Source organism: Homo sapiens, chromosome 2 (genome assembly GCF_000001405.40).
Source record: "Homo sapiens chromosome 2, GRCh38.p14 Primary Assembly".
NCBI lineage: Eukaryota > Metazoa > Chordata > Mammalia > Primates > Hominidae > Homo > Homo sapiens.
Window position 1 is genome coordinate 27,028,577 of NC_000002.12, and position 13,664 is coordinate 27,042,240.

The window sequence follows — 13,664 nt, forward strand, 5'->3', positions numbered from 1 at the left end:
AAGACTTCCCTGAGCAACATAGGGAAACACCATCTCTACAAAAAATAAAATTTGAAGGGCGTTGTGGCACGTGCCTGTAGTCCCAGCTACTCAGGAGGCTGAAGCAGAAGGATCACTTGAGCCCAGTTGTTGTTAAGGCTGCAGTGAGCCATGATTGCTCCACTGTACCCCAGCCTGGGCAACAGACTGAAACCCTGTCTCAAAAAAAAAAAAAAAAGAAAAAAAAGTTGCAGATGGAATTCAGGAAGTTAATCTGCTGACCTTAAAATAGGGAGAGTGTCCTGGTTTATCCAGGTGGGTCCAATGTCATCGCAAACGTTTATAAGAGTGGAAGCAGGAGGCAGAAAGGGTCAGAGTGGGCAGGGTGTGGTGGCTCATGTCTGTAATCCCACCATTTTGGGAGGCCAAGGCAGGAGGATCACTTGAGCGCAGGAGTTGGAGACTAGCCTGGACAACAGCGAGACCCCATCTTTACAAAAAATAGAAAAATTAGCCGAGCATGGTACTACATGCCTGTAGTCCCAGCTACTTGGGAGGCTGAGATGGAAGGATCATTTGAGCCCTGGAGGTCAAGGGTGCAGTGAGCCATAATCATGTCACTGCACTTCAGCCTGGGCAACAGAGCAAGATCCTGTCTCAGAAAAATAAAAGAAGAGGTCAAAGTGAAACAATGTGAGAGTGACTCACCCACTGTTGTTGGCTTTGAAGACAGAAGGGAGCCATGAACTCAGGAATGCAGGTGGCCTCTAGAAGCTGGGCAAGGCAAGGAAATGGATGCTCCCCCAAAGCCTCCAGAAAGGAACCCAGCCCTGCTGACACCTCGATTCTAGCCCAGGGAGACCTGAGTTAGACTCCTGCCCTCCAGAACTGGAAGATAACGCCCTTGTTTTAAGCCACTAAGTTTGTGGCAATTTGTTTTAGCAGCAATAGAAACGTAGTACAGTGGGTAAAACAGTGCTTCGGTGAGCTCACCCTTCTGCTTGCTCCCACACTAGACACCCATGTCCTCCTTGACCCAACATCTTTTGGGTCTTCAAACCCCACGGCGGGGCCTACCCAAGCCCACCTCCGTGGCTAGTGTCTAAGGCTGCTCTTCAAACACCCAGAACTTAAGGATGTAAAGCCACTCCCTTCTCCCCACCTCTTCCTGGTACCTCATACTAAGTGCTTCTTTCCTCTGGAACACTAAGATGGTGAACTGTAATTTTCTGTTTATACATTTGTCCCCCACACAGACTTCAAGTTCCTTACAAGCAAGTGAGCTATATCTTCCAGCTCCACCTAGCACAGGGCCTGACACAGAGAAGGTGCTTAGAAAAGGTTGCTGGATAAGTAAATGCATGATTTATATGTCCTAGATGCCAAGTTAGAACTGGTAACTTACTAGACTATTCCAATGAAAGATAGAGTCCCTCTCCCACCCTTCTGTGTGTCTCCACCATGGGGCAGCCCCCTCATTTGCCTCAATGGAAAGCCAGTTCTGTTTCTCTTCCAAAAACATGGTCTCTTCTGTGATCATACATGTGACACAGGAGGGGTCAAACAAAGAGAAGATATTGTTGTTGGTCTCCTGAGTACACCTAAACCAATGATCTGCAAAATGAATTGATTAATGATCAGTTCAAATATGGTCCTTGGCAAAGGCACTGTATCTCAGAGCTACCGGATGCAAAGTCAGCCATGGTCAGGCCTAAGGGGGCTGGAGGACAGGTAGAAGGAGGCAGCAAGATATGCTCATCTCCCACCCCCTGCCTTCCCCTACCAACACTTCACACAGCCACATTTACCCTTCCAAAAGAGTGGATTATGCCACCCTCTCACTGGTCTCCCAGGGCCTGAAGGATAAAGTCCAGATTTGGCAGGCAAGTTCCTTGGCATATGGGCTCAGATCCCTTTCCAAACTCATAAGAGGCTATTGTTGCATTGCTATAAAGAAACATCTAGACTGGGTAATTTATAAGAAAAGAAGTTTAATTGGCTCACAGTTCTGCAGACTGTATAGGAAGCATAATGCTGACATCTGCTTCTAGGGAAGCCTCAGGAAGCTTACAATCATGGCGGAAGGCAAAGGGGGAGCAGGCACATCACATGGTAAAAGCAGGAGCGAGCAAGCGAGCGAGAGAGAGAGGTGGTGGGGAGGTGCCACACACTTTTAAATGACCAGATCTCATGAGAACTGGGATCCACCATGAGGGATCCACCACCATGATCCAAACACTTCCCACCAGGCCCAACTGCCAGCGCTGGGGATTACAATTCAACATGAGACTTGGGCAGGGACAAAAATCCAAACTATATCAAACCTCATCACCTCCAAAGTCCCATCAAGCACTGTCCCATTGAACTGCTTCCAGTTTACCACCCTCTAGGCCTTTGTTTTACATCAACAGATCCACACAACTGGCATTTTCTCTCCACCCACCCTAACCCTCAGCCAGTGAACATTCAATTTTGTTTTTTGTTGTTGTTGTTGTTTTGGGTTTTTTGAGACGGAGTTTAGCTCTTGTTGCCCAGGTTGGAGTGCAGTGGCACAATCTCGGCTCACTGCAACCTCCGCCTCCAAGGTTCAAGCGATTCTCCTGCCTCAGCCTCCCAAGTAGCTGAGATTATAGGCCTGCGCCATCATACCTGGCTACTTTTTTGTATTTAGTAGAGATGGGGTTTCACCATGTTGGCCTGACTGGTTTCGAACTCCTGACCTCAGGTGATACCCACCTCGGCCTCCCGAAGTGCTGGGATTACAGGCGTGAGCCACGGCGCCCGGGGAACCAATGAAAATGCTATTTCTCAGAACCTATCTCAGCTGCCGTCTCCTTCGGGAAGCTAAACTCCTTCCTAAGGAATGCATCGCTCCCTCAGCTGTTCATCCTGTAGGAATTTGGACTCTCTTAGTTCTTATCATAATACCTCAGTATGGCAGGTAGGAATCTCATCCTCACACACAGTTGTACATGAAATAGCACATTTCCTTAATTGTGATAAGTCACTTTGATTTTATCTTCCCTCATTCTCCTCTGCTGGCATGCTTCAAGGTTCTGAAGGCTCCCAGGATACTAACACCCTCCACGTGGATGTCTGAGCAGGAACCTGTCTGCAGATGCCTCAAGTCTGGGGCTCTCCATCGCTTCCCTGACACATCTGGAACTTGGGATTGACTCTTATGGTGGGAGGCAGAGCCTGTTCTTTCTCATTGCCTGGAAGGGGAAACCCGGCCCTGGCTGTCCCAGACCCCCAGACTTTTCTCAGCCTCCCATGAGAAGAACTCAGAGGCCAGGAGCGGTGGCTCACTCCTGTAATCCCAGCACTTTGGGAGGCTGAAGAGGGTGGATCACTGAGCCCAGGAGTTTGAGATCAGCCTGGGCAACACAGCAAAACCCAGTCTCTACAAAAAATACCAAAGATTAGCCGGGGGTGGTGGTGGGTCAGGTGATCCGTGGTGGGGGATCACCTGAGCCCTAGAAGTTGAGGCTGCAGTGAGTCGTGATCGCGCCACTGAACTCCAGCCTGGGCGACAAAGCAAGATCCTGTCTCAAAAAAAAAAAAAAAAATTATTCTCCATTCTCCACCTCCTACCCCAGCTCCCCAACACTCTGCCCTTTCCTCAAGCCCCCATCCTCTTCCTTGTTCTTTGGCAATAGATTTGTATAGCCCATTAAACCCGAGGTTTAATCACTAGCAACAGTAAAGCCAGCACTTTCCTAGAAGGAAGGAAGCATTTAATCTTCAATCTCTCCCTAGATATGAGGAGCACTACTTCCCTTCCATCCTTCCAGCTCTACGAGAAAGGAAAGAAAAACAGTGGCCGGGCGCCGTGGCTCACGCCTGTAATCCCAGCACTTTGGGAGGCTGAGGGGTGGGGGTGGGGTGGGTCACTTTAGGTCAGGAGTTCGAGACCAGCCTAGCCAACATGGCGAAACCCCGTCTCTACTAAAAATACAAAAATTAGCTGGGCTTGGCAGCGGGAGCCTGTAGTCCCTGCTACTCGGGACGCTGAGGCACGAGAGTCGCTTGAACCTGGGTGGCGGAAGTTACAGTGAGCTGAGATCGCGCTACTGCACTCCAGTCTGGGCGACAGAGCGCGGCCCTGGCAATCAATCAATCAATTGATCAATAAAGGAAAGAAAAACAGAAACAGTTCTACCAAGTCTCTCAATGCCGTGGCCTTCACATCGACGCTCAATGAACGTTCTCAGAAGGGAATCTCCTCTCCTCCCGGCCTCTTCGCCTGGGCGGGGGCCGCAGGCTGCCGCGGAAGCCTCTTCCCGATGCTCTTCGCTCAGGAGAGCCCGGCCCAGGAGAGGGACTACAAGTCCCAGGCTGCCTTGCGGCGGGCGCCGGGCGCCGGGCGCGCGGTCCTGCGAGGAGACGTGGCAGAGTGCGGCGCGCTCGCGCCGGACCGGAAAGCCGGGGAAGTGGCCGAGGAGGGAGGGCTGCGAGCCATGGCGACCAAGACGGCGGGCGTGGGGCGGTGGGAGGTAGTGAAGAAGGGTCGGCGGCCTGGGGTCGGCGCCGGCGCCGGCGGCCGAGGAGGCGGCAGGAACCGCAGGGCGCTCGGGGAAGCAAACGGAGTGTGGAAATACGACCTGACCCGTGAGTACCCGCCCTGCCCCGCCGCCTACCCCAGGCCTGTCCGGCAGGGTCGCAGCGAGCGGCTCCCAGAACCTGGGCGCGAGCTCGCAGGCACATCCCCGAGCGCCACGCTTGCGTTGTCTCTTTGGAGCCTCACGGGAGGCAGACAGCTCCAGGGAAGGTTGCGGTCCTCACCTCCCAGATGAGTAAACTGAGGCCCAGTGAAGTTGGATACCTTGGCCAGGGTCATGTGTCAGAGGGGCTAGGATTCCGGTCCTCAGACTCTCAGTTCACTGCACACACTCTCCCAGCTGCCCAGGGCCCTAGCTGGTCTCTCTGGGCAGGTGTCTGAGCTTTGAAGAGGTACTGTGGATCATTATACACGGTGCCCCCTCTTTAAGTAACCAGCAGGTCATGGAGGAAGGGACAGGAGGCCCAGCAGTGGGAGAAATGACCGCCACACACTCAACACTCACCAGGAATTATAAGTGACACCTGGTTCTTCCACTGAGGAGTGGAGAAAGATTGCCACTTGTTGATTATAGAGTTGTCATGTCGGAACCAAGAGGCGTTAGGGTAGGACCAAGATGGAAAAAGCTTGTCTTCCCAGACTAGTAGCCACTCACTGAATAAGGCAAACCTCTATATCCAACCTCTCTGCTTGTTCCTACATACTCTGATTTGTCTAATGAAGAACTGCCCCATCTTTATGAAAGAGCCCATAGACTCAAGAGCTGTAATGAAAGAAGCTACCAGGAGAACAGCCTGCCCTGCTCCTTAAGCAGTCCAAGAGGAAGGGGCTTTGAGACAGGCTCTTCCCTGGAGATGAATTAGGTGGCAGTGTGGGGAAAGGGACCACTGATAGGTGAGGCCTTGGGGACTCAAGGGTGGCCTGCCTTTCTCTACCTATCTTCACCCCAGCTGCAATCCAGACCACAAGCACCCTTTATGAGCGGGGCTTTGAGAATATCATGAAGCGGCAGAATAAGGAGCAGGTCCCACCCCCTGCTGTGGAACCTAAGAAACCAGGGAACAAGAAGCAGCCAAAGAAGGTGGCAACTCCTCCCAACCAAAACCAGAAGCAGGGCCGCTTCCGCAGCCTGGAGGAAGCACTGAAAGCTGTGAGTGTGCCTAGACATGAGACGCAGAAAGAATGGGGGCTTGAGATTTAGAGAAGATGAGAGGAGGGGGAGGTGGATGGGCAGCTGAGATCCTATGGGATTTGAAACACTTTAAGGGTTGAGAGGAGTTCAGGAAAAGATGGAAACCCCAGGGGAACAGAATGCCTGCACTTAGAATAGAAAGGAAATGGAAAATTTATAGGGAAACATGGATTGGTAAGAGGAAAGCCTTGAAGACCCAGGAACACCAGGGAGGAGATGGAGAAACTGGTTATGATTCTCTGTCCTATGGAAATACTGATCTTTCATTTTCTGTCTTGTCCTCTGTTTTCCTCTTTTTTTTTTTTTTTTTTTGAGTTAGAGTCTCCCTCTGTCGCCCAGGCTGGTGTGCAGTGGTGTGATCTCAGCTCACTGCAACCTCTGTCTCCTGCCTCAGCCTCCCAAGCAGCTGGGATTACAGGCGTCTGCCACCACGCCTGGCTAATTTTTGTATTTTTAGTAGAGATGGGGTTTCACTACGTTGGCCAGGCTGGTCTTGAACTCCTGACCTCAGGTGATCCGCCCACCTTGGCCTCCCAAAGTGCTGGGATTACAGGCGTGAGCCACCGCGCCTGGCCCTCTGTTTTCCTCTTGAACATGTGGAGGGCCTGAGAGGATAGGGCCTGAGATCAGCATTTTCAGCTGTCCTGTTCCATTCTTAAAGATGTAGGTACAGCAGAATTGCAGCATTCCATGTTCTTATGCTTAAAAATGGAATCCCTTCTTCCTACTGCCACCTAGTTCAACCATTTTCCCACCCCTACCCCATTTCTTTACTCCCTCACTCACAACTCGCCATGGTGGGGGGTTGGGGGATTGTCCCTGGCAGCTGGATGTGGCAGACCTGCAGAAGGAACTGGACAAGAGCCAGAGTGTGTTCTCTGGAAACCCATCCATATGGTTGAAGGACCTGGCCAGCTATCTCAACTACAAGCTACAAGCTCCTCTAAGTGAACCCACGCTGAGCCAGCATACTCATGGTAAGTCCTTCCAGCTTCCTCAAGCTCAGACAAGTTCAAATAAATTCAAAAAGGGTGGTATAACAGATCCCAGTGCCCCACACTGTCCTGATTTCCATGGGTGATTTGGGCTGGTCTCAAATCATCGTGACTGTGAATGTTTCTGGGCCTCATTCTGTGATCCTCCCTCTGGGCCTCCTCAGAGGAAGGATCCCAGCCTCAGTGCAGGGGCCTTTGCCTCCACTCACCATTCCCAGGGAGAGCACCACAGTTCTCAGAGCTGATGGGTGTCTGGTCCTAGCACTCACATTGAGGCCTATGGGCCTTAGATTATCCCTACAGCCTGGTGAGCCGGGAGCTACGTGGGATCATCCGAGGGCTGCTGGCGAAGGCAGCAGGGTCTCTGGAGCTCTTTTTTGACCACTGTCTGTTCACCATGTTGCAAGAGCTGGATAAGACACCAGGTGAAAGGGGCACGGGAGGGATGACCATCTTGGGAGCCTCCTCCTTTTTTTCCTGCTTCCAGTACCACTCAGTGGTTCTGTTTCCAGCAGAGAAATGTGCTAACCTTAACACTTTTTGGAAAGTGTGGAGGAAGTTAGGAGTCAGTGGACCTGGGGCCTGGGCTCACCGCTGACAAATGGGAGATTTCAGGTTTGGGATGCCAAATAATGTGAGTAGGTGTGAGAATGTGTATCTCTCCAGGGGAGTCACTACATGGTTACCGCATCTGTATCCAGGCCATCCTGCAAGACAAGCCCAAGATTGCCACGGCAAACCTAGGCAAGGTGAGCTCTCAGTGATGGTGGGGATGCTAGGAAGCTAGGACTGGGGAGGCTGGGCAGAATCTATGTTGTTGGACTCAGGTTTGGGATAGTGGAAGACCTGTAAGCCTAGTAATAATGGGTAACACTATTAGCACCTATCCTGTGTGTGTGCTCTGGAAACATAGGAGCAAGGTACTGCTATTATTTCCCATTTTTATAGATGAAAAGATTGAGCCACAGAGGAGTTCAGTAACTTTCCTAGGCTCAGTCATCCAGTAAATGGCAGAGTATGGGCGAAGCCCACAAACAGAACCTGCACCACGTGGCCATAGTGCTCCACTCTTGCTCGGCCTGTCCTCCCTCTTCCAGTTGACATCTCCCTTCCCTCCTGGCTTTGGGGGGTGCTCCTGGTGTTTTGTCCTATCCCAATCTGCCTTCCCCACCGGTCTCCTCAGTTCCTGGAACTGCTGAGGTCCCACCAGAGCCGACCAGCAAAGTGTCTCACCATCATGTGGGCCCTGGGTCAAGCAGGTTTTGCCAACCTCACCGAGGGACTGAAAGGTAACAGGGAAATAGGGAAGAAAGAGGGAGGGTCTCGGAGCTGGAAAACTCCTCTTTGATGCCCCCAGTAGGTGCAAGCCTGAGGCCTCCCTCGTGACTTTTACCCCTGCAGTGTGGCTGGGGATCATGCTGCCTGTGCTGGGCATCAAGTCTCTGTCTCCCTTTGCCATCACATACCTGGATCGGCTGCTCCTGTGAGTAATGGGAGGGCAGCAAGGGGAAGGCTCAGGGTGTCCCAAGTGGCTGTTATAGCAAAATGGGAGGCTATGATCTTGGTCTCCATGGATATGAGGAAAATCAGGACCAGCTTCTCCCACCACCTTAGAATGTGATGGTGAGGAAGGAAGAAGAGGGAGCTATTAAGGGCTGGCAGATGGGGTAGAGTTTATACCCTTTTTCCTAGATGTTGGCTTAGCTGGGGTCATGGCCAAAACAGCTGGCATGGGTGGTGGTGTCCAGCGAGCCTGTTTCTTCATCCCCACAGGATGCATCCCAACCTTACCAAGGGCTTCGGCATGATTGGCCCCAAGGACTTCTTCCCACTTCTGGACTTTGCCTATATGCCGAACAACTCCCTGACACCCAGGTAGGACTGCTCTGGGGCACACCTGCTGAGAAGGGACCACAGCACCAGAACCACACTACATATTCCCGTCTCTCCTTCCCCAGCCATCCTAGATCTGAGATTTGCAACCTGGAAGTTCAAGAGTAGGTTTCAAGGGAACAGTGACCCCTTGAAATTATATGGACCCTTGAGTGTGATTGGCATATGGGCATTTTCTTAGGGATAGGGTCCATGGCTTTCAACAGATTTCCAAGGAGTCTCTGAGTAAAAAGATTCAGAGCCATTGCAAGGTCCTCAGTGGCTATTCCCCACAGGCAGGCATGGGCTCTGAAGCAAGCAAAAGGTTCATATCATACAGCTCCACTTATAGCTTATGCCTGTCTTTCCTCCCCACCCCACCCAGCCTGCAGGAGCAGCTGTGTCAGCTCTACCCCCGACTGAAAGTGCTGGCATTTGGAGCAAAGCCGGATTCCACCCTGCATACCTACTTCCCTTCTTTCCTGTCCAGAGCCACCCCTAGCTGTCCCCCTGAGATGAAGAAAGAGGTGAGGATATGGTGGGAGGCTTTTTCTCCTTCCCCAGGGGTCAGCTGTAGCGGTCCCTATCTGCTGACAAAGGCCTTGCCTTCACAGAGCCCATTCTGAGGCTTTTCCTTAGCTCCCTGTTGACAGCTGCCTGCCCCGCTCACTCGAGCTTCACCCTCAGAAGATGGATCCCAAGAGACAGCACATTCAGGTCTGGGTGGTTTCTGATGCCCGTCTCTTGCAGATAGTGATCTTTGAGCTCAAAGCTCTAGCTCAGGAGCCCCAGCCTCCTGCTTTACAGCCTCTCAGAGAGCTTTCTGGAGTCTTGACACTGTTTCTCCACCCCTTAGGGTGGATGTGCGGCCTGGATGGCCTTGCTTACGGGAAGGGGATCACCTCTTAGCACTCCCCGCCTCTGCCAGCCCCATGCCCCCAGCAGCCTCTCCCTCTGTCGTGCTGTGCAGCTCCTGAGCAGCCTGACTGAGTGCCTGACGGTGGACCCCCTCAGTGCCAGCGTCTGGAGGCAGCTGTACCCTAAGCACCTGTCACAGTCCAGGCAGGTGGGGTGGGAGGCCAGCCTGTCCCTGTGCTAGAAGCAGAAGGGGAGCCTGGGTCACTGTCCCATGGCCTGACACCTTTCAGGCTGAGTGGGAACATTGCTGGAGCAGCCTCTAGGAAGCTGCTGCTCTGTGGGTGGTAGGTGGAGGGTCTTTCAGCCTGAAGGAGCCAGGGCTAATGGAGGACAGGAGGATGGGTGAGGCTGCGCGAGCCACCTGACTAGGGGGTTGTGCTTTCCCCACAGCCTTCTGCTGGAGCACTTGCTCAGCTCCTGGGAGCAGATTCCCAAGAAGGTGAGGAGCTGGGAGGACGTGGCAGGTTGAGCCCTGTCTGGATTCTAGGTTCTGAGTGGGGGCTCCTCAGCCACTGTCCCTTCCCTGAGAAGGGACCCTGTTGGCATGGAAAATGAAGCAGGATGGAAGCTCTGGATTCCCTCACAGGCCAGACCTTTCTTGTCCATAGGTACAGAAGTCTTTGCAAGAAACCATTCAGTCCCTCAAGCTTACCAACCAGGAGCTGCTGAGGAAGGGTAGCAGTAACAACCAGGATGTCGTCACCTGTGACATGGCCTGCAAGGTGCTGGCACCCGGTCCTCTCCAGCCCACACGCTATCTTACATCTCTGTCTCAGCACACCTGGGTTGGGCCTGTATCACATTCCTGCCCCACCTGTCTGGAGCCCCCCGCTGCCTCCAGGATAATGTGAAGGCTTGACGCTCTTTCGGGAAGGCCTGGCTTGAGGTCTGCCCTCAGAGGCAAAGACCAGCCCCTCGCTTCTGACAACTGTCTCCTGCTCCCCTCCCACCAGGGCCTGTTGCAGCAGGTTCAGGGTCCTCGGCTGCCCTGGACGCGGCTCCTCCTGTTGCTGCTGGTCTTCGCTGTAGGCTTCCTGTGCCATGACCTCCGGTCACACAGCTCCTTCCAGGGTAAGCAGCAATGGGCAAGCGAGGAGGATGGTGTGGGCGGGGCACAGAGCTACACGTAGCACCACCACCCCGCCCCCAGCAGCACACATCTTTGTCCTGACGAGTTCTCAATCCTGCAGAGTAAACACTTTACAGACAGATTTTTTTGTCCACAGATATGACACTACCATTTCAGATTGGACTAGGACTTCGCAGTATAGAAGTGCTTGCATATTCATAGTATCATTTTAGTAGGTGTTACCTCCTTTTAACTCCTGAGGAAATGGTCTCAGAAAGATGTAGCAATTAGCTTTAGGTCATAGCTAGTAAGTAGAAGGGCAGACCCTCAACCTGAGGCTTCCTGAAGCCTGAGCCTAGGCTCCAACCGGCAGCTGCATTCCTGCACACCTGGCCCAGCAGGAGAAGGGCAGCTCTGCATGCCTCCCTCCACAGCAGCCTGGAGCTGGCTTTGTGGCCCTGTGAGAACACAAAGCTCTGCCCAGCGCCTCGCTGTGCCTGCTCTGGGCCCTGTAGTGTCTGTCTCCCCAGTCCCTGCCCCTCTCACCTCCCAGCTCACCAGAGGCCCCCTTTACTTAGCCTCCCTTACTGGCCGGTTGCTTCGATCATCTGGCTTCTTACCTGCTAGCCAACAAGCGTGTGCCAAGCTCTACTCCTACAGTCTGCAAGGCTACAGGTGAGCTCCTCCCAGGGAGGGGAGAGGAGAGGCAGAAGAGAGAAGGCCTGGGTGTCAGGGAGGAGGCGACAGTCAGTGGGAAGCGCTTGTGATTCTCCTTTCCCACGGCCTCCCTTTCCCCAGCTGTTTCTTGGGAGCTAAGTGGGCCTGAGGAGACTCAGAGCCCTCTTCCCCCACTTCCATCTTCCACAGCTGGCTGGGGGAGACACTGCCGCTCTGGGGCTCCCACCTGCTCACCGTGGTGCGGCCCAGCTTGCAGCTGGCCTGGGCTCACACCAATGCCACAGTCAGCTTCCTTTCTGCCCACTGTGCCTCTCACCTTGCGTGGTTTGGTGACAGTCTCACCAGTCTCTCTCAGAGGGTAAGTCAGAGACAGGGAGTCAAATAAGGGGCTGGTTTTCCCAGGAGCAGAATTCTGGGAAAGGAGCAGCACTGTGTGGCCTGAGTCTTTAGGGCCAGGATGCAGTTCCCTGGATACTCTGACCCCATCCATTCTCCATGGTCCAGCTACAGATCCAGCTCCCCGATTCCGTGAATCAGCTACTCCGCTATCTGAGAGAGCTGCCCCTGCTTTTCCACCAGAATGTGCTGCTGCCACTGTGGCACCTCTTGCTTGAGGCCCTGGCCTGGGCCCAGGAGCACTGCCATGAGGCATGCAGGTGAGACCTTTGCCCAGGGCTCCGGCAGGATCCCCAGCAGCCCCATTCCCGGGCCCCAGGGACAAGCCATCTCTATCCAGTCTCCCACACTGTCCTGCCCCTCGCTCCCATTCCTGGCCACCCTGGGATGAGGGTTGTGGGTCTAAGCTTTCATCCCCGAAAGTTGACACAGCTACTCACGTGCATACTCAAAAATGTTCCACTTTCCTTCCAGAGGTGAGGTGACCTGGGACTGCATGAAGACACAGCTCAGTGAGGCTGTCCACTGGACCTGGCTTTGCCTACAGGACATTACAGTGGCTTTCTTGGACTGGGCACTTGCCCTGATATCCCAGCAGTAGGCCCTGCCTTCCTGGCCACTGATTTCTGCATGGGTAGACCATCCAAGACTGCAGCGGGTAGAAGGTGGCAGTTCTTCATGGGAGTCTTTTTAACTTGGTGCCTGAGTTCTCTCCTAGGCAAGTGGCCAGTTGCCTCCACCTCAGTTCTTCCATCTTTGGTGGGGACAGGGCCCAGCAGCATCTCAGCCTCCTACCCACAATTCCACTGAACACTTTTCTGGCCCTACTGCACATGGCCCCCAGCCTCCATCCTTGTGCTGGTAGCCTCTCACAACTCCGCCCTTGCCCTCTGCCTTCCACTTCCTTCCATCTCATTTCTAAACCCCAAACAGCTCATCTCTAAAAAGATAGAACTCCCAGCAGGTGGCTTCTGTGTTCTTCTGACAAATGATTCCTGCTTCTCCAGACTTTAGCAGCCTCCTGTTCCCATTCTTGGTCACAGCTCTAGCCACAGCAGAAGGAAAGGGGCTTCCAGAAGAATATAGCACCGCATTGGGAAACAGCAGCCTCACCTCCACCTGAAGCCTGGGTGTGGCTGTCAGTGGACATGGGGAGCTGGATGGAAATGCCTCTCACTTCAAAATGCCCAGCCTGCCCCAAATGCCTCTAAGCCCCTCCCTGTCCCCTCCCTTGTAGTCCTACTTCTTCCAACTTTCCATTCCCCATCATGCTGGGGGTCTTGGTCACAAGGCTCAGCTTCTCTCCACTGTCCATCCCTCCTATCATCTGTAGAGCAGAGCACAGGCAGTTGTGTGCCTTGGGCCCAGGGAACCCTCCATCAACCTGAGACAGGACTCAGTATATGGTTCTTGGGTATGCCCTACCAGGTGGAATAAAGGACACAGATTTGATTTCTAGCATTCTTGTCTGCATCCTCATATAGAAATTCCCCTAGTTATGGTTCAGAATAACAAAATCCTGGGCCCTTGCCCTCCTGAAGACTGTAGCCGTGGCTGTAATTAAGCTCCTGGTGGGGGAAGCCCACACACATGGTTCTAAAGTTTGACCTGGTGGGTGTTCTAGACACTTCTCTTGCTACCCTAATTATAGTGTCTGACTTGTCACTGTGATTCACGTCCCAGATTTGCCTTGATAGTTTTACGCTTAGAAAAGCAGGGGGCCGTCTCCTAGGGGAATTCTTGGCCAGTGACCAGGAGGTGTCCTTTCCTTGCCAGGACCTTCATTTTATAGAGCAGTGAGTGAAAGATTTAGAACTCCAAGGGACACATGAGTCCAAGGTTTATCACCGAAGCCCCTTTTTATTTTTGACTTGAGACTATAAGGAGTTAGATAACTCTGCTGGTTTCTTAGTTCTCAATTTTGTTTCCTTAAATGTTTCAAGTCAGCAGTACTAGAGATACGCTCTAGCAGTTCTCAAAGGCAGATTCAGCTTCCCTCATAAA

The 13,664-nt window shown here is 53.0% G+C and overlaps 1 protein-coding gene across 7 annotated transcripts, besides 3 other annotated features; it reads left to right on the top strand.

Moving 5' to 3' along the window:
* Positions 4,012 to 4,301: an enhancer, noted in NCBI's record as "active region_15482". NCBI's record gives its function as "activates an Ori minimal core promoter by ATAC-STARR-seq in GM12878 lymphoblastoid cells {active_cell/tissue: GM12878}" and the evidence as "EXISTENCE:reporter gene assay evidence [ECO:0000049][PMID:35858748]".
* Positions 4,389 to 13,118, top strand: TMEM214 (transmembrane protein 214). 7 transcript variants are annotated; one of them, XM_005264381.4, is made up of 18 exons: positions 4,389 to 4,590; positions 5,491 to 5,690; positions 6,559 to 6,709; positions 7,018 to 7,152; positions 7,394 to 7,476; positions 7,911 to 8,016; positions 8,129 to 8,210; positions 8,501 to 8,602; positions 8,985 to 9,126; positions 9,239 to 9,316; positions 9,456 to 9,661; positions 9,908 to 9,956; positions 10,126 to 10,239; positions 10,471 to 10,588; positions 11,165 to 11,261; positions 11,454 to 11,622; positions 11,769 to 11,920; positions 12,135 to 13,118. In XM_005264381.4, exons 1-18 carry the CDS (start codon positions 4,440 to 4,442, stop codon positions 12,259 to 12,261), a joined length of 2,262 nt encoding a protein of 753 aa, XP_005264438.1. In that variant the 5' UTR covers positions 4,389 to 4,439; the 3' UTR covers positions 12,262 to 13,118. The 7 variants fall into 7 exon arrangements, with proteins under 7 accessions (XP_005264438.1, XP_005264439.1, NP_060197.4 ...); XM_005264382.4 differs by having other exon boundaries at positions 9,570 to 9,661; NM_017727.5 differs by lacking the exon at positions 9,239 to 9,316 and having other exon boundaries at positions 9,570 to 9,661.
* Positions 10,234 to 11,433: an enhancer, noted in NCBI's record as "CDK7 strongly-dependent group 2 enhancer chr2:27261678-27262877 (GRCh37/hg19 assembly coordinates)". NCBI's record gives its function as "activates an origin of replication core promoter dependent on BRD2, BRD4, P300/CBP, MED14 and CDK7 cofactors, with strong dependence on CDK7, by STARR-seq in HCT116 cells {active_cell/tissue: HCT116}" and the evidence as "EXISTENCE:reporter gene assay evidence [ECO:0000049][PMID:35650434]".
* Positions 13,107 to 13,156: an enhancer, noted in NCBI's record as "active region_15483". NCBI's record gives its function as "activates an Ori minimal core promoter by ATAC-STARR-seq in GM12878 lymphoblastoid cells {active_cell/tissue: GM12878}" and the evidence as "EXISTENCE:reporter gene assay evidence [ECO:0000049][PMID:35858748]".